Source organism: Homo sapiens, chromosome 1 (genome assembly GCF_000001405.40).
Source record: "Homo sapiens chromosome 1, GRCh38.p14 Primary Assembly".
NCBI lineage: Eukaryota > Metazoa > Chordata > Mammalia > Primates > Hominidae > Homo > Homo sapiens.
Window position 1 is genome coordinate 190,664,505 of NC_000001.11, and position 19,977 is coordinate 190,684,481.

The window sequence follows — 19,977 nt, forward strand, 5'->3', positions numbered from 1 at the left end:
TAGTTCCAGTGTAAAGTTCGATGTGAAAAGTGTTTCAGGCATAAGGGACTGTAGGGATGAACATTCTGAAGCTTGAACAAACTTGGCTTGTCTCAGGAACAACAAAAAAGGTTCACGTGCCTAGAGCAGAATAAGCAATGGATGATCAGAGATGAGGTCATAGAGCAGCTATCAAAAGTGGTAGTGATAAATATTCATTTTTTTCAATGTCATGGAATGACTGGAGGGTTTTTAATATGGAGTTATTGAACTCAGATTTTCAGAATATCTCTGGCAGTTATGAACAGAATAAATTTACTTTGGGGTATTGTGGTATAGAAGTAGGTTTGTGAATTGGGTTAATTCTAGTTTCTCGGGGAAATAAGATGGTAGGTAATCCATTGAAAGTGAGAAGAATTAGTTGAATATTTAAGTACAGAATAAAAATGTTGAAATAATTATCTTAAATACAACTCACTGGAGATACATGTTAAGTATTCTGTATATCTTTAAGGGCCTGGTCAGAATGGTTATGAAGTTTTCTCCAGCCATGCTTACCTACACCATGGGTTTCAGAACAATGTAGACTCAGAGGAAGTAAAGAGTAAGGTTTTTTTCCAGGTGTTTATAAGTGAGAGAGGTAAGGTAAATTAACTTAAGGGTGAATGCAATCAAATTATAATAATGTTGGGCTTTGGTAATGAGAAAAGAGGCCTCATGAGAAAGAAGCAACAATAATTTGATGAGGTCAGTGGATTTAAAAGTGCTGATTGAAGTAAAATAATTATTGGAGAAACATTATTAGATTATGTCTGCTGAAAAGTTTGGAGGTGGTGGTCAACAAATGAGATGCTGAAACTGGGATTTTAAAAAAAATGTGACACAATTATTAGAAATAACAAAACTTAGGAAATGAAAAAGTTAATGGAAATCCATGGAGGAGTGTTATCCACAGAAGTGCAGAAAGCAGTACTAAAGCAAATGGCTTCAATTGCAGTCATTTAAAATTACATCTCCTCACTTCTCTTCTTCACTATTATCTCAAAGATAAATGTTATACTAAAGACACAAGTTTAGAAGATGCACTTTTAGAGATGAGTGAAATTTTAGATGTTTTCTAGTTCAATCCTTTACTATACACACAAAAAATCTGAAATTTAGAAGTTGTGGGTAGAGTGGTGCCCAATTATTGTTCTCCACATTTTCCCTTAACAGAACCGTACAGTAGTCTTTAGTAACAATATCTGTGGGCTGAAGCGCTCAGGTTTCCAGCTGCCCTACTAAGTAGGGTAGCAATGTGAGGCATTTCTAGCCTGTAATATACAAGTAGAAATAGCAGAATGAGAAATCTGTTAAAAAGCATAGACCCAGCAGGCATGTATCCTTTGGCTTTTTTCATTTATTTCTTTTCTCTGCCTAGAATTCAGAATAAAATATTTAATTTTTTAACTAATAGGATTAAATCCATATACTAAGGAGATCAGAGCATAAAGATGGAAGGCATCTGAATTCCTGATGGGTTTTAAAGAATATGTGCACCAACTCTTCCTCTAGATTTCTTATTATATATGGAAAGTATAACCTGTGAGGTGGTTAGCAAGGGAGAGGAAATATACATTCTCCCCACAAAGGTTAAATTATTCTCTTAGTATAGTTGTGTTCTTTTCTATCTTTTGGTTATGAATTAGTCAGCTCTACTGTCAGTTAATTTATCTTCTATGGGAGTTTTTTTTTTTTTTTTAAAGCTCACACAAAAAAGAAACAGCTTACAACTTTCTAAATGTTAAATGTTTTCTCCCATTTGCTCTGAGTCACAAAACAGCAAGCAGTAGCGTAACCAAATCTTGTGCCGTAGCGTAAAATGAGATTCTACCTTTTTGACTTATAGTAAGTAGGTCTTTCCTGCCTAAATTTTCTTTCTCTACATAGATCATTTTAAATTTTAAGTTGTTAACTACATGCAGCACACTACTAACAGGCTCTGAATTCATTAACAGGAATAAAATAAGCTGCCTCTTACAAAATCACTAGAGTTACTTAAATAAGTAGATTAGTTTTTCTTATGTATCAAGAAGTCTTGGTACAGATTAAAGCAAAATAAATCTGATTTTACCTACTCATTCACAGCAAATAATAATAGGAATTACATGAGGAAATCATTCAAGGCAGTTCATAAAGTAAGTTTGCTTCTTTAAGGCTAACAGGATAACCTGTTGCTCTGGTCTACCAAAATGAAGTTTTTTTTTCTTTTTTTTTTTTTTCTTTTTTGAAACGGAGTCTCGCTCTGTCGCCCAGGCTGGAGTGCAATGCTGCGATCTCGGCTCACTGAAGCTCGGCCTCCCGGGTTCATGCCATTCTCCTGCCTCAGCCTCCAGAGTAGCTGGGACTACAGGGGCCTGCCACCATGCCCGGCTAATTGTTTTGTATTTTTAGTAGAGATTGGTTTCACCGTGTTAGCCAGGATGTTCTCGATCTCCTGACCTCGTGATCCACCCGCCTCGGCCTCCCAAAGCGCTGGGATTACAGGCGTGAGCCACCATGCCTGGCCTAAGATGAAGTTTTAAGTGAGGTAGTATAATCACGGGAGTGACAAGAGTTAAATAAACTCTCCTGTATAACATACAGTAAAGTAGTTATATATTAGGTTATATATAACATAGCCTAATCAAGGGAATGACATTCCACCGTCTTCATTTTATTGGCCAGAAGCGAGTTGCTGGTTCCATTGACAGCCAAGGGCATGGCTTACTGCCTGCCCTTGACTCAGGTCACTTTGCTGTGTGTCTGTCACACCATATATGCTATTTTAAGAATCAAAAATTATACTGGATTTCAATCACTCTCAGAAGACCGGATTGAAACAACAGAATCTGCATTTGTAATTTATATTTCTTTAAATATTTAATTCCTAAAGCAATTAACTTGTGATTTCTGTGCTGAGGTGTGTTCAATGTTACTCTTAGATATATTTTTAAAACTTTAATTTTGTATTAGTTCATTTAAAAATATATATCTACATTCTACTTATAAGAATGCAGCATATTATATTTTTAATATTAAAAACGAATTTTTGTGCAGCTAACCACCATGGCACGTGTCTACCTATGTAACAAACCTGCATGTTCAGCACATGTATCCCAGAACTTAAAGTAAAATAAAATAAACAGGAATTTTATGTAATTTGGTAACCAAAGCAAAACACTGTACATGGATCTACTTCCTTTCCCATATGAAATCACTTGAAATGGAAGTAAAAATTTGCAGAAAAAAACTTATGATGATACTGGCTAATAAAGAAATTCCCTGAAGATAATAAAACAAATTGATTTAAATTAACAGAGAAACCAGAACAAACAAAACTATAGTGCTGGACACAAGTGGAAAGTATATTACCTTCATTAAAATTATCTTCCTGACATGCAGTGAGGAAATTGTGTTTCCAAAGAAGCTTCCAAACTCACATGATATATGTGTAACATCAACTAATACAAAGAATACTGTGGAAGTGCAACCCCTTTTGGTAGGCCATCTCACACATACTAAGACTTAGCAGCAGATTCCTCTTCCCAATCCCCTCCCATTTCCAATCCACAGGCTAACTCTTCATATTTGCTTTGCAAATAAAACTGGAAGATTTCTCAGGAAATTTGAATGACAGCCCTAGAGAGAGACAGAGCAGAGCCTGATGCAATACTGGACCTCAAGGACACCAAGAAAAACAAATAAACACACAAAAGAAAAAACTTCAGTATTTTCATAGTGAGAATAAATGTGCTTTAAGACATTTCTCTGAGGGCTGGGAAGGAGGAGAGAGCTCCTGGTAACTAATGGTTGCTGGAAAGAGCTGGCAGCTTCCCTCAATGGAACAACTAACCTGGCTTCACTTCTAGAACATTACCTGCAATCTTAAGAGTGGACTACTGTATTCGGAAATTTCCTCCTTTGGAAATTATCACTTGAGTTGCACGTTTTACTCTCAGGGATTTACACAAATTCTGACTCATGAGAGAGATCCCAAAATATTCACCAACATTTAAATATTTAAGGAAAATCAGTAACCATAAATTGAAAAAAAAACCCATAAATTTTAAAAAAGAACAATTACCACTAAAGAAACAATGCAGAATCAGAACACTATTTAAAAAAAAAAAAACAGTTTATAAAATAATAATTTTGCTAAAAGAAAATAATAAAAATTTCTGATGTCTATAATCAAAAACTTTCAAACTCAAAACTAAAACTTTTAAGGAATGAAGTGTCATATCTAAATAGAACAAGTAACAAGATAGAAAAATAAACATGTATAACATGAAATTGGTAGCAAAAAGAAGGGGGGTCATAATTATAATACTTATAATAAACACTGAAGATGAATCTATTAAGTGAGTGCAACACATACCTTTTATATTTACAAAAGTGAAGTCCACCATGAACACAACAGTTGAGCATACTGAGGCATTAAAAACTTTCACTTAAATATTTAAGTCAGAACTTACAGAAATATATTAAAAATGAATTTACTTCATAAAACTTTCATAAATCAACAGAAAATAATTAAGATATAAGCAAGAATACAGATAATTAGGATAACATAATCAATACTTAGTATACTAGAAATAGATATAATATTGGTTAAAATCAAGTTTAATTATTTTCAAATATGTGTTATATTTGTCAGGGTTCTCTAGAGATACAGAACTAATAAAATATATATATCAGAGTCTATTAAAGAGTATTAATCCACATGATCACAAAGTCCCATAATAGGCCATCTACAAGCTATGGAGCAAGGGAGCCAGTCTGAATCCCAAAGCTGAAGAACTTAAAGTCCGATGTTCGAGGGCAGGAAGCATCCAGTATTGGAGAAAGATGTAGGCTGGGAGGCTAGGCCAGTCTATTCTTTTAACGTTCTTCCGCCTGCTTTTTATTCTGGCCACACTGGCAGCTGATTAGATTATGCCCATTCAGATTAAAGGTGGGTCTGCCTTTCTCAGCCCATTGACTCAAATGTTAATCTCCTTTGGTAACACCTTCACAGACACACCCAGGATCAATACTTTGCACCCTTCAATCTAATCAAGTTGACACTCGGTATTAACCATCACGAGTCCACCCCATGTCACCTTGACCCATACACATCTCCTGAGATCATACATAATCTTCAAATAAAGACAATAATAAGGTGATCATTATGCCTGACACAATACAACAATTCTTCATACAACCGGAAATGCACCAATCCCCCATCCAAATGCTATTACATAAAGTTAACAGCACTTAAATGCTGAGATGAAGTCAACAAATCTTATGTCACATAGTGAAGGAAAAAGGAAATAAAATGAGGGTATTGTCTTAGTACAAGTGTATACATGCACAAACATGTTTTTAACAAAAGAAAACTACCTTTTTCTACTACCCATTCTGTATTCCCTTTGCCTTCAAGCACCTCAGCAGGTTGTGGTTTTCTTCCTGGTGGAGTGACACAAACCTTCCTTCACGAAGGGTCTAGGACCTTTGTTGTCTTGCCTGGATAGAGCTGTTGTTGAGTTTCCCACTGACCTTAATCACAGGGCATGGTTATACTAAGAGATGTGCCAAGGGATCTCCTGTATTCCATGCATAATCTTCCTTACCTCTGTTGTGGAGTAGTAGGGTGATTTCATCTTGATAGTCCAGGTCAGTCACCTCAGCCAACACTGTAATTCCCTTCATAGCCCATTGGCCTAAAGGTAGGAGGAGCCCAAAGTGTCCAGGTGGCAATCTTAACTTCCAGTTAAAAGGAATCGTTGTTGCGTCTCCTGGGGGCAGCGTTTCTCCCTCTAAGACTAAGACCTCTAGGCTAGCAGAACATGATGTCGTGGGATAGGAAGCAACAATTTTGCTAGTGGGTCATTACTGGTGATGGTAAATGGTGCCATTTATATTTCCACCCCTTGATTCCTGGACCTGTGAATCCTGGCTATGGGAGAAACTGTACCATATATTGGATGCTGATTCAGTGCATACACAGCCTTCTGGAGAACTTTGCCCTAGTCATGCAAAGTATTGTCACCTAGCTGGCATTGTAATTGTGACTTCAAAAGGCCATTCCACCATTCAATATATCCAGCTGCTTCAGGATGATGAAGAACATGCTAAGACCAGTGAATTCCATGAGCATGAGCCCACTGCTTCAGTTCTTTAGCCATAAAGTGAGTGCCTTGATCAGAGGCAATGCTTTGTGGAATACTGTGACGGTAGATAAGGCATTGCGTGGGCCCATGGATGGCAGTCTTGGCAGAAGCATTGCATGCAGGATAGGCAAACCCATATCCAGAGTAAGGATATATTCCAGTGAGAACAAACCTCTGCCCTTTCCATGATGGAAGAAATCCAATATAATCAACCTGCCACCAACTAGCTAGCTGATCATCCCGAGGAATGGTGCCATATCGAGGGCTCAGTGTTGGTAGCTGCTGCTGGCCAATTGGGCACTCAGCAGTGGCTGTAGCCAGGTTAGCCTTGGTGAGTGGAAGTCCATTTCATTGAGCCTATGCGTAACCTCCATCCCTGACATCATGTCTGCTTTGTTCATGGGCCCATTGGATGATGACAGAGGTTGGGGAAAGAGCCTAAGTGGTGTCCACAAAACAAGTCATCCTATCCATTGATTATTATAATTATCCTCTGCTGAGGTCACCCTTTGGTGAGCACTCACATGGGATACAAATATCTTCAGTTTTGACCACTTAGAGAAGTCCATCCACACACCTCTTCCCCAAACTTCTTTGTCACCAATTTTCTGATCATGCCTCTTCCAAGTCCCTGACCATCCAGCCAAACCACTGGCTACAGCCCATAAATCAGTATATAATCACATATCTGGTCATTTCTCCTTCCGTGCAAAATGCACAACCAGTGCACTCCTCAAGGTTCTGCTCACTGGGAAGATTACCCTTCACTGTTGTCACTCAGGGGTGTCCTAGAAAGGGGCTATAGTGCTGCAGCTGTCCACTTTTGGGTGGTGCTGGCATATCGTCCAGAACCATCTGTGAACCAGGACCTAGTCTTCTCTTCCTCTGTCAACTAATCATAGGGATCTCCCCATGAGCCCATAGATACAGGCTGGGAAAGAGGAGGCAGGGTGGCAGGAGTGGAGACCATGGGCATTTGAGCCACTTCCTCATGTAACTCACTTGTGCCTTCAGGATCTGCTCAAGCCTGATCACGTATATGCCACTTCCATTTGATGATGGAATGCTGCTGTGCATGACACACTGTATGGCTAGATGGGTTAGAAAGTGCCCAGTTCATGATAAGCAGTTCAGGTCACATGGTGATTTGATGACCCATAGTCAAACGTTCATTTTCCACCAAACCCCATTAACAGGCCAAGAGCTGTCTCTCAGAAGGAGAATAGTTATCTGCAGAAGATGGCAGGGCCTTGCTCCAAAATCCTAGAGGCCTCCACTGTGATTCACCTATGAGGTCCTGCTAGAGGCTCCAAACAACACCTTATCTGCCACTGACACATCAAGCACCATTAGATCTGCTGGATCATATGGCCCAAGTGGCAGAGCACTTTGCACAGCAACCTGGACCTGTTGTGGAGCCTTCTGCTGTCTGGAACCCAGTCAAAACTGAAAGCCTTTTGGGTCACTCAATAAATGGGCCATAGTAACAGACCCAAATAAGGAATGTGTTGCCTTCAAAATCTAAATAGTCCCACTAGGCTCTGTGTTTCTTTCTTGGTTGTAGGAGGGGCCACACACAGCAACTTATCCTTCACCTTGGAAGAAATGCTCGACAGGCCTCACACCACTGGACCCCTAAAAATTCTACTGTGGTAAAATGTCCCTGAATTTTATTTGAATTTATTTCCCATTCTCTGACATGCAAATGTCTCACCAATAAGTCCGGTGTGTTTGTTACTTCTTCCTCACTGGATCCAATCAGCATAATGTGATCAATGTAATGGACCAGTGTGATACCTTGTTGAAGCAAAAAGGGATCAAGGCCTCTTGGAACAAGATTATGGCACAAATCATAAGTTAATATACCCCTGAGGTAGGACAGTAAAGGTATATTGCTGGCCTTGCCAGCTGAAGGCAAATTGCTTCTGGTGGGCCTTATGAACAGAAATGAAGAAAAAGGAATTTGCCAAATCAATGGCTGCATACCAGGTACCAGGTGATGTGTTAATTTTCTCAAGCAATGAAACCAGATCTGGTACAGATCTGTCATTCTTCAAGATCCATCTGTCTTCTGCACAGGTCAAATAGGAAAGTTTAATGGGTATGTGGTGGCAGTCACCACCCCTGCATCTTTCAAGTCTTTATGGTGGCACTAATCTCCACAATCCCTCCAGCGATGCGATATTGTTTTTCATTTACTATTTTTCTAGGTAGAGGCAGCTCTAATGGTTTCCATTTGTTCTTTCCCACCATAATAGCCCTCACCCTACCAATCAGGGAGCCAATGTGGGGGTTCTGCCAGCTGCTAAATATGCCTATGCCAATCATGTATTCTGGCACTGGGGGAATAACCACAGGATGAGTCCGGGGACCTATTGGACCCACTGTAAGTCAGACCTGAGCTGAAACTCCATAAATTACCTGACCTCCATAAGCCCCTACTGTAACTGGAGAACCACAATGATGTTTTAGATCCCCTTGAATCAATGTCAGCTCAGAGCCAATGTCCAGTAGTCCCCAAAATATCTGATCATTTCCCTTGTCCCAATATACCATTACCCTGGTAAAAGGCTGGAGGTCTCCTTGAGGAAGAATGGGAAAAACAGTAACAGCATAAAGTGTCTATAGTGTAGTGGGGTCCATTCTCAAGGGAATCCAGCCTCCCCTTTATTCAAGGAGTTGTGTGTCTGTAAACTGGCTCAAGTCTGGAAATTGATTGAAGGGCTGTAATTCTCTGTTTTTAGAATTCAGATTAGTCTCTTTTCCACTTGACCTGGCAGGTTTCTGCTTATATAGACTAAGTAGGAATGCAGTAGGCTTCCTCTTGATTTCACTTCTAGGAACACTGTGATTAATTAGCCAGTGCAAGAGCTCTGCATGAGTCTGATTATTCTGATTGCTACTTTGCCATTGCTGTCCATTACAGTAGCTACACCCACCTTGCCTTTGATGGTTGAGTGCTGCCACTTGGACTCTGCCACATTGGGATACAATTATTCCCATGGCATTTAAATTCTGTAGTTGAGTGACTGCAGCTCCCACTATTAAATCTGACATACAGAGAAGAGCAATTACAGGGCTCTTCAAAGATGCAGTTGCTGCCCTCAGAAATCTATTTCATAACGCATTGGTCAAGGGTATATCTTCTGGACCCTCCCAGCTTGTATGAGCAGGTCTAAAGTGATTAATCCACTCCACTATCCCAATCTCCCTAAGCGTTTAGATCCCTTCCTCTACATTAAACCAAGAGAGATCAGGCATTTCCAGCTCACTCACAGTGGGCCATCTTTTAACTAATATTTCAGCTAACCAAGCAAATAAACAATTAGCACCTTTTTTAACTCCCTGAGCTGCAACATTAAATGCAGAATCCCTACTTAGTGGGTCCAAATCAATTAATTCAGCCTGATCTGACTCTATGTTTCTTCCACCATCTTCCCACACCATTAATATCCATTCCCAGGCTTGTTCTCTAGATTTCTGCTTATATAAATTAGAAAATTCAAGCAGTTCTTTTCAAGTGTAGCACACCTCATCATGGGTCACACTCTCAACCTCATCTCTATGGGCCCACTGGGACTTTAGTTATAGCTCTAGACGTGAACAGGGATGTTGGGGATGGCTTCTGAGGAGCATCAACATTATCTTGCCTGGCAATTGCCTCAGGGGAGGCCATCACTGTTGCCTCAGGCAGCGTAGGGTTTATCTTCTCAGACAAATGTGGAAAGGGGGACAGCAGCATGGGTCAAGGAGGGAATGTTGCCACTATTGGAGATGGGAAAGCTATTTTTTCTGGCAAAATGTTCATCAGAGTTTACAAGTCCAGCTTCATCAGGTTCCTCCCAAATGTCCCCATTCTAAGTTTCGGGGTTCCATCCTTTTCCAATCAGTGCCCTCACTTTAACAGTAGACACCTGGTGAGGCTGTGCATGCACCTTTCATTTCAGGTCAGCCGCTTGAATGATAAGAGCTTGTGTCTCATTGTCCACATTTTCAGCTCTTTCTCTACAGGCAATAAGACTCTCACTCAGGGCAATCTTAGCAGATTTGATGCTTAGTATCTGCTTCCAAGGCTGGGAGTTGGAACCCCTGAGTTCATAATTTTCTTTCATTACTTTGTCCAGAGAACTTAGAAGGAACAAACCAACTTCATTATTTTCCTTTGTTCTCCACATATAGTCAAAGGCATTATGTATAGTGTCACTAAACTCCTTACCTCTCAGGAATAGTGAATAAGAAGTGTCACATGCACTTATTTTGCATAACTCTCTAAACAGGTTATGCCAAGGACTATCAGTGTTCTCCATTCTATTAGAAGTAGAGTCCTTAGCATTTGAGGTCTAATCATAATAAGCAGCCTACTCCAGAAATTCCCAAATCAATGAAGAACTCCATCCTTAATATTCTGTTCCTCTAGAACCACTCTTGGTACCAAAATATGTATTAGGGTTCTCTACAAATACAGAACTAGTAGGATAGATATATAAAGCAGAGTTTATTAAGGAGTATTAACTCATATGATCACAAGGTTCCACAATAGGCCATCTGCAAGTTGTGGAGCAAGGAAGCCAGTCCCAGTCCCAAAGCTAAAGAACTTGAAATCCAATGTTTGAAGGTAAGAATCATTCAGCACAGGAGAAAGATGTAGGCTGGGAGGCTAAGCCAGTTTAGTCTTTTCACATTCTTTTCCCTGAGTTTTATTCTGGTGGCAGTGGCAGCTAATTAGATTGTGCCCTCCCAGATTAATGGTGGGTCTGCTTTTACCAGCCCTCTGACTCAAATGTTAACCTCTTTGGCAACACCCTCACAGACACACCCAGGATCAATACTTTGCATCCTTCAATCCAATCAAGTTGACACTCAGTATTAAGCATCACCCTTGTGAAAAAGTTACTAACAAAATGGTCAAATACTAAGTTCCAAAGGCGAATAGGAGGACTCCCATTCTGCTAACAGTCTGTCAGGATGAGTATTGTTTTTATATATTTTATATCACCATGTGATTTTCTTTTATTCTCATGCTTTTTTCTGGAAGCATGCATTCCTTTATTGTTTATGCAATTTATGTTTGCATTATAATAAGAAGAATGAGACTCTGGGGAATAGGGTTAAAAAGAAAAGAAAAGTTGTTCCCAGGAGGATATTGAGGATATTGCCTTTTTCAATTTGATTGCTTTCCTTTGAGGCATAATAGGTATTACCTCAGGCTTTATTAAGAGATTATTATTTAGATATGTCAATTTAGCTCTGTTAATTTGACAATAAAAATACATTTTTGGACTTTTCCTCAATAGAATTAATACTGAACTAAATGAAGATTACTAAGAATATTAAATACTTAAATTTGAATGATACTTTCACAATTGAATTCATGGTCTCTAAAGCAATAGCCTGGCATAAACCCTGCTTCTTAGAAGCTAGTTGCCTCATGAGTTTGGTGCAGAACCATATTTGAATACAAAATTGTTTTTCACATATTTTTTAACATTATGATTAACAATTTGATTTCAATGAGTTCTTCTTAATGTAGATAAAAAGAACTCTAAATATCAAAATAAATAAAAATAGAAACTAATTACAACAAAAACCTAAATTTGCTCAGCAAAATCACTGGGCTCTCAGCATAGAAAATTTGGTTTTCTTAGACATGACAAAGGTGCTTTTTGTTTGTATCTTGTTTTCTTTTACCCTAATTTCTAATAAGATGCTTATTTTTACAGAGTTTTGAGTATATAAACACAATTAATTTAGCCTCATTCCTTAATACAAATGTGAGCATGTGGAAATGTTTAGGCTTATTTCTAGAAGAAACACTGAAGGTATATGGAACTCTTAGTAAAATTAAAATGTGCATTCAAAGTTGATAAAAATGTTATGCTTATAAAGTTCATGTTCAGAGAAGACTAGTAACTTTTTATGTGATGTAAACATTAACTAAAAGTAACATTGGGGCACCTTATATGTTACACAAAATACAGAGAAGATAAGGTCTTGGAAATTGATATGGTTTGGCTCTGTGTCTCCACCCAAATCTCATCTCTAATTGTAATCCCCACATGTGGAGGGAGAGGCCTGGTGGGAGGCAATTGGTTTAAGGTGGCAGTTTCTTCCATGCTGTTCTAATGATAATGAGTTCTCACGAAATCTGATGGTTTAAAAATGAGAGAGCCTTTCTTGTCTTGCTTCCCCTTCACCTTCTGCCATGATTGTAAGTCTTCTGAGGCCTCCTCAGTTATGCAGAACCGTGAGTCAAATAAACCTGCTTCCATTATAAATTATCCAGTCTCAGGTATTGTTTATAGCAGGGTAAAAGCATTTTAATACAGAAATTAAAAATGAAAACTTAAAAACTTGGAAGCAACTAAGAACTTGTATGTGTAGCTTCTTTAAAAAACACTATGAAGTTTATGTTAATAGCTTTTTTTTTTTTTTAACGACGGAGTCTTGCTGTGTCACCCAGGCTGGAGTGCAGTGGCACAATCTCGGCTCACTGCAACCACCTCCTCCCTGGTTCAAGTGATTCTCCTTCTTCAGCTTCCTTAGTAGCTGGGACTACAGGCGCATGCTACCATGCCCAGCTAATTTTTGTATTTTTAGTAGAGACAGGGTTTTACCATATTGGGCAGGCTGGTTTCAGACTCCTGACCTCAGGTGATCTGCCCACCTTGGCCTCACAAAATGCTGGAATTACAGGCATGAGCCACCCAAACCTGTCAGTTTTTACAAGTTTTAACTCAATAAGGAACTGGAAAGAAAAAAAGTGGAATAAAAATGTTGTTAAACAACTTTATAGTTTATTACTTTACCTTAATATAGGCACATTTCTTAGTATGGCATGATTTTATCAACATTAAAATTCACTTCTTTTTGCTTTTTAACTTTGGTTCCCTCATTACATTGCTACTCTAAAGCAGGGAAAATACTGTGCCTTCAGCACATATAGCACTGACTATATGTTGATTGAATAGAGAAGTAGATTAACCAATTGCCTAAATTTCTAATGAGGCCTTAAATCCTCATTTGAACATGAGTAATCAGCATCAAAATATAATATAATTATTGGAGTACATATTATTCATTAAGCATTGTGATATGTAATATCTGTTAATCTTCAAAAATACATTGAAATAATTATTGTTATCTGCAGTTTGTTGGCACAGAGGGTTAAGTGTCTTGCCACTTGACACATCTAGTATATATTCTAAGCAACATGATTTAGAGTGCATGCTCTTACCACCGTACCGTTGACTCTTTCTCTTTCTACTAAACTTTCTGGGAGGGTTTAAAACTTTTTTGATAGTGGAAGGTCAACACGGGAGTAATTTATGATTTTTGTGATCCAAAGCCTATTTATGTGGCTACTGTGAAAATTGTTTCTGCCATTTGATAATAAAATATTTCTTCTGGGTGGAAATGTTAGCAGGTAGAACAGGTAACGCAAGTTGATATGCAACTACTTGAGTTAGCGTACTTTACAAATTATAATAGCATTAATTATGACACATCTCAATTTCAGAGGTGTTAAAAATGCAGAAAAATGTACATTTATAGTTGACTAAATGCAGTATTATCTATATTCATTTTGACTGGTTTAAGTAAAAAGACCTTTAGGTTTTGTATCTAAATGCCTTATAAGACACATTTATACATTATTTTTTATATTCATCCTTGTCTAAGATTTATTTATTTATGTATGTGTCAAGATAATTAAGTAGTTATTCAAACTTCTTTCCATTTTCTCTATAAAATGCTTCTTATCAGGGCACTGCATTACTACTCAAGATTAGAAATTATGGTAGCTAAGAATGTGGTGGTGGTGAAGATACAGAGGGTGGAAAGAGTTTGAAATGCATTTATGAAGTGGGATTGATAGAAGCTGAGTGTGGATAAAATATGGGTTTTATTATTTGAGTGTTGAAGGTGATTGCGTCTTTACATGTTATCCTAATGGAGAGCAAAGTACCAGTAGTCATTTGTTTCCATATATTTTATATGGAAGCACACAACTGCTATTTATATTCATTTGTTTCTCTTCACTTGCCTTATCCTAATTAAGTCATAGACATTGACTTTTGCAAGAGTCTCTTTGCTTATGTTTTGCTTTATTTGCCTTTTCTCATGTAAGTGTGTCTAATAATGAAAAGTAAGACGTTAATTTAATCCCCTAGTACTGTTCTCCCTCTACTAGTTTAGACGAATGGTATTTCTTCATTTTAAAATTGTGTAAAAAATTCTGATAACCATATATTGAATACTTTTCATTATGTTCTTAAAATAATATTTTTGACTGATACAAAATAGAAGAAAAATCAGATTTCTTATTATTAATAGCTATTATCTACATGTTTTTAGGGAATAAAAATAAATTGCAGAAGGAATTTAGAACCACATTGTATAAATGAAGGAATGTTTGGCTTTTTTAAAAGTAAGGAAGCCATTAGAAAGAAGCTCCAAGTAATTTAAAACAAAAACAAAAACAATAATAAAGACGAGGTCTCACCACCTTTCTCAGGCTGGTTTCGAATCCAGGCTCAAGCAATCCGCCCTCCTCAGCCTCCCAAAGTGCTGGAATTTCAGGCATGAGTCACCGGGCCAGGCCAGTGAGTAATGTTTTATTTTATGATACTTAATAAATGATACTTATTCTTCAAGAGGAAAACAAATATTAAAAATGATATTATGTGAGAATTTATTAGGTAACTGTTTGGTTTCTCTGCCTGTTTTAAGCATTGTATTTTCCTTACTATTGATTGTTTCAAAAAATTATTTGTATCACATTTCACATTTTACGTTTTAGAGAAAAATATCAATAATTATATGTAAAAGTACATCTTTTTACACAATGAACAATTCTTACACTTATAACCAAAAGTTTTCAGTTTTCAGTATTTCACAAATATTTATTCATTAAACTGAGCTATCTACTTTGTTTGTCTCCTAGAGACACTGTCTTCTTTGAACAAAGAAAAATATCCCAAAGCTATGAATCACCTTTCCATAATTACACTAATGACGTTGAATTTCCTAATGCCTTCAATTATAAAATCAGTTCCTGACTACGAGCTGCCTTCAAATGAGAAACCAGTTTTCATAGCTACAAGGCAATTCACACAACAATAATAAATATTATAGGAGCTGGTCAAAATTTAAATTCAGCATGAAACTTTATAATTTTATATATTTCCCACTGCTCTCTAGGAAATCTCTGTTCACTTGCAATATTGAAAAAGCAGAAAAAGAAAAGTTAGGAATTCTGTTCACCAGAACAAATTAAAAAAATATATTTTTTTTCTTTTCCCGTTTAGTTTGACAAATGTTAATTTTGTGTTTATGCTTAAGCATTGTTTCAAGCCATGCTATTAATTTTCAATTATACAAGTTAAATTCAGGTCATATTGCCATAGTCAGAAACACAGTGTTAGTAATCAGTGTCCTGCTAAGTAACCAGGTACTTATACATAATATTGCTCTTTAGTCAGGAAGTTCACAAGATAGTTCATCGAAGGCACGCAGGAGCAAGATTTCAACATGCATTCTTTTTACAGCTTTTACTGGACACCTTATTCAAGCACTGAGCTAGATTCAGAGAATACAAATTGATTAACATCTTGTCTTTCCCTGCAGGCATTTATAATTTATCGAGTACTTTTAACTCCTCTAAGTCCAGGTAAACAAGCAGGCTCCAGAGCTCTGGAAAAAATCGGAGCTAGTGAAGCAGCACTGATGAGAAATAATTGTGACTTCTTATCCCAGAGCAAAAGTATTTTGGTTTCTGCATCTGCTTTCTTATCTGTTGCTGTGGGCATCCTACGAATCACAGAAATTCATTGAAATGGAGGAGGTGAGAAGTCCATAGTGAATCCTGAGGCTCACTGAAATAGGAACAGAGATGTTGAAGGTACCTCTTGAATACAGTTGTAGTTCTACAAGATGATATTTGAGTATCTGTAAAAAATGAAAAAGAAAATAAATGTATAATAATTTTAATCAAATTCATATCATCACACAATAACAACATTATAGTTTTTCACATTAGTGCTACACACAAGTGTATGGCTATTTGATAACAAACATGAAGAAAGTACAAGAGAGTAAAAATGTCAGCTTTTTAATTTCTTTCTTTTTTAACTGTTTTGCACAAGGTGAAACTTTATTTTGCAAAGTAGGGAAATGGATGCAATAGGTACTTGGACTTGGAATTAGAAGACCTGAGTTAAAATTCTGCATCTAGGCTTTGCTGAATGTTGAAATTTTGGCAAGAAATTTTGAGCTTTAGTGTCTTCATTCATAATATATGAAAAATGATACATAACTAATTGAAAGTGTTATATGAATTTAGAGAAATAATGGGTGCTAGGAAATTGCAATCGGCCGATGCCTACAATTGAAAATGGAAGCGCTGCACCTAGGGAGATAGGACAGGTACTGAGAAGGGAACAGCGTTTCAGACAGAATCTAAACCATGCTACATCTAATATAATAGTTTTATCTTGCTATTGTAACAAATTAACGTAAACTTCATGGTTAAAACAATACAAGCCTATTATCTTATATTTCTGGAGATCATAAATCTGAAAATGGGTCTCATTGACCTAAAACAAAGATGTATTCCTTTCTGGAAGTTCTAGGAAAGGAACTTATTTTTCCCCCCCTTTTTGGCTTTCAAAGATGCCAAATTCTGTTGTTCATGCCACCATTTCTTCATTTTCAAAGCCAGCAAAATTGGCTGAGTCCTCACACTGTCATCTCTCTGGTTCTCTCTTCTGCCACTCTCTTCTACTCATAATAGCCTTGTGATATTAAGCTCATCAGATAACCCAGGATGATCTCCTTCTGCTTAGGTCAATTTACTACCAATGTTAATTTCATCGGCAAAATCATCATTTGTCATGTAAAATGAGAGGTTGCAGAGATTAGGATGTGGGTATCATTTGGGAGCCATTATTCTGCCTACCACACCACTTGTGGAGTCAGTGATTGACTCTGTAATGTCCTTGGGAACAAGCTGAGAAGGAGCTCTAAAATTCCTTGTGAACTTCGACTTAGATCCAGGTACTACGAGGCAGAAAATTACATAGTTACACATAATAAACAATGCATAATTTAAAATGAAATTATAACCAAGCAAATATATCTAAACTCCAAAACAAATTTATTTCTAAGACAATCGACAAAATTAATTATTAGTACATTAAATCATATTAATTTTAAATAGCACTCAGATAAAGATTTAAAATAAAGTATATTTAGGATGTTCAGATAGGGGCATGGGATATAATAAATATTCACTAAAATAGACATTATATTAACAAAAAATTGCAACAGGCAGAGCTGTAAGAAGAATAAGTCAGTACAAAAATAATCTAAGAAATTTTGAAAATAAAAATGGCAGAAATTGACATTTAAAAAGAAAAAATAAAAGCACTCAAGAGACCAAATAATTTTAAAGTCTAGACGTTGTTAAAGAAAGGAGTATTGACTAGGAAGGCAATACTGATAAATTCTCCCAGAATATAACACAGAGAGAAAAATAAATAAAATATATGAAAATCATCACTAATTAATACACATAGAATGGTACTGAAAATAAAGCTGATAATGTGATACTTAAGAAGAAACCTGAAAGAAGCAATAGAGGCGAAGACAACAATCACAGATACCTTGATACAACAGAACATCAAATACACACAGAGTGAGATAATCATATGGCTGAGCAGAGAGACCAAGGGGGAGAACAGTTGGCAGACATTACTAGAGAGATAAGAAGGCCAAGATTATGTAGATTTCAGTACACATTATAAGGACATTGGGTTATCAATAGAGAAAGAACTTAATTGTGCAATGTGTTTGAAGTTTTCACTGAGAAGTTATAGTTTTTTTTTACATTTCATTGTTCAAATCAAGACATATATCCAAAAATTAATTCCAAGTATAGAGTTCATTTTTATCATTTACAGATAGGAGAATGAAAATTGTTAAAGAATAGCATTCATTATTACCACAATTACCAAGCAATAAATTTAATATGACTGGTCTATACATTTTAATATCAGAAGTCAGTCAATATGTACATGAGTTACCTGAGTTACATGAGGAAATTAGAAGAAAAACAAACATAAATGAGTAAATACAAACATATACATAAGTAAGCAGATTAATTATGAATATATTAAAATAAGATATATGAAATAAATGTTGACATTATTTTGGAAAATTTTGCTACAAAAAGTGGTTTGTTTTCTTAGTTTTTCTTTATTATGTTTCTGCAATAAGACTGCAGTGACTTTTTTAATAGCGCCCATCTCAAAAGTATTTTCTTTCATAGCTTATGTGTTTGATTTAGATTAAAAATAAAGATAACCAAACACAAGGTTACATGGAGTTTCCCCTATATTTTCTTCTAGGAGTTTTATAGTTTTTCATTTTACACTTAAGTCTCATTCATTTTGACAATCATGTTACATACACATGAAGACTGTTGTATTTCTTCCTTGTCAGCCTGTATATTTTTCACTTCTTTTAGCTTTTCTATTTCACTAGCTAAAACATTTATTGCAATTTTAAATAAGGAGGAGTGTCAGAAAGAACATCCTTGCCTTTTTTGCAAACTTAGAGTGAAAGTATTTAACTCATCATTAGGTATGATATTAACTGTAGCATTTTATATTTTCCTTTATTGGGTTAAAGGAGTTCCCAATATATTCCTAGTTTATTGGGAGTTTTTATCATTAATGCATCTTAAATTTTGCCCAGTACTTTTTCTCCATCTATTGATATGGCATATCATTTATTTTAGTTTAATGTGATTAATCTTATATTTATCAATTTTTGAATATGTAGTATTGCATTTCTGAAATGACTCCACTTGGCATACTATTTAATCCTTTTGATGTACTGCAAGATTCTGTTTATTAATACTGGATTAAGGAACTTTATATTCATGAGAAATATTGATTTTTAGTTTCTTTTCTTGTAATGTACTTATCTGGTTTTGGTATTTGGGTAATGTCAGCTTATAAAAAGGTTTAGGAATTGTTCCCTCTGTATTTTCTGAAAGATATTATAAAAATTGCTATTAGTTTTTCTTCAATGTTTTAGAAAATTCACCAATATTTAAGCATTATGTTTTTTGGGGGGAAGATTGTTTGTTCTTAATTTCTTTAATATATATAAAGCTATTCAGATTATCTCTTTTTTTCTTGAGTAAGGTTTGGTACTTTTTATCATTGAACCAGTGATTTTTATCTATGTTATCAAACGTTCAGGCATAGAATTATTTATAGTATTACCATACAACCCTTGTAATTTCTATGGATCAGAAGTCCCCGCCTCTTTTTCTGATATGGGTAATTGTGTGTGTGTGTGTGTGTGTGTGTGTGTGTGTGTGTGTGTGTGTGTGTATTCGTTCTTATTATTATTTTAGTTTATCAATTTAATTTAACTTATCAAAGTATTAGCTTTTGTTTTGTTGATTTTCTCTATTGTTTTGCTGTTACAATATCATCACTTCCTCCTTTTTAAAAACATGTTCTTTCTTCTACATGGTTTGGGATATATTTGCTACTCTTTCTGTAGTTTTCTCAGGTGGAGGCTTAGGTAGTTGATTTTAGGTCTTTCTTTTTCTACAGATTTTGACTGTGAATTTCAGGATTCACTTGTCTCTCCAGAGTTTGTAGTGAGGTTTGCACTGCAACATCAGTTCTGTAATGGATTCAGGAAAACTCATTAATTTCCAATGATATTCAAGTTATGTGAGGATATTCAAGTTCTGTGTATATCACAGGTGAAAGCAGAGGTCTCTTCTTTTAAAAAAAATGAAGTCAAA

General features: G+C 36.2%; 1 long non-coding RNA gene across 1 annotated transcript in view, besides 1 other annotated feature; it reads left to right on the forward strand.

Annotated features, from left to right (window-relative positions):
- Positions 1-19,977, forward strand: part of LINC01720 (long intergenic non-protein coding RNA 1720) — a 176,769-nt gene that overhangs the window by 39,615 nt on the left and 117,177 nt on the right. The gene's annotated exons all lie outside the window — the stretch shown is intronic.
- Positions 14,260-15,459: an enhancer, noted in NCBI's record as "CDK7 strongly-dependent group 2 enhancer chr1:190647894-190649093 (GRCh37/hg19 assembly coordinates)". NCBI's record gives its function as "activates an origin of replication core promoter dependent on BRD2, BRD4, P300/CBP, MED14 and CDK7 cofactors, with strong dependence on CDK7, by STARR-seq in HCT116 cells {active_cell/tissue: HCT116}" and the evidence as "EXISTENCE:reporter gene assay evidence [ECO:0000049][PMID:35650434]".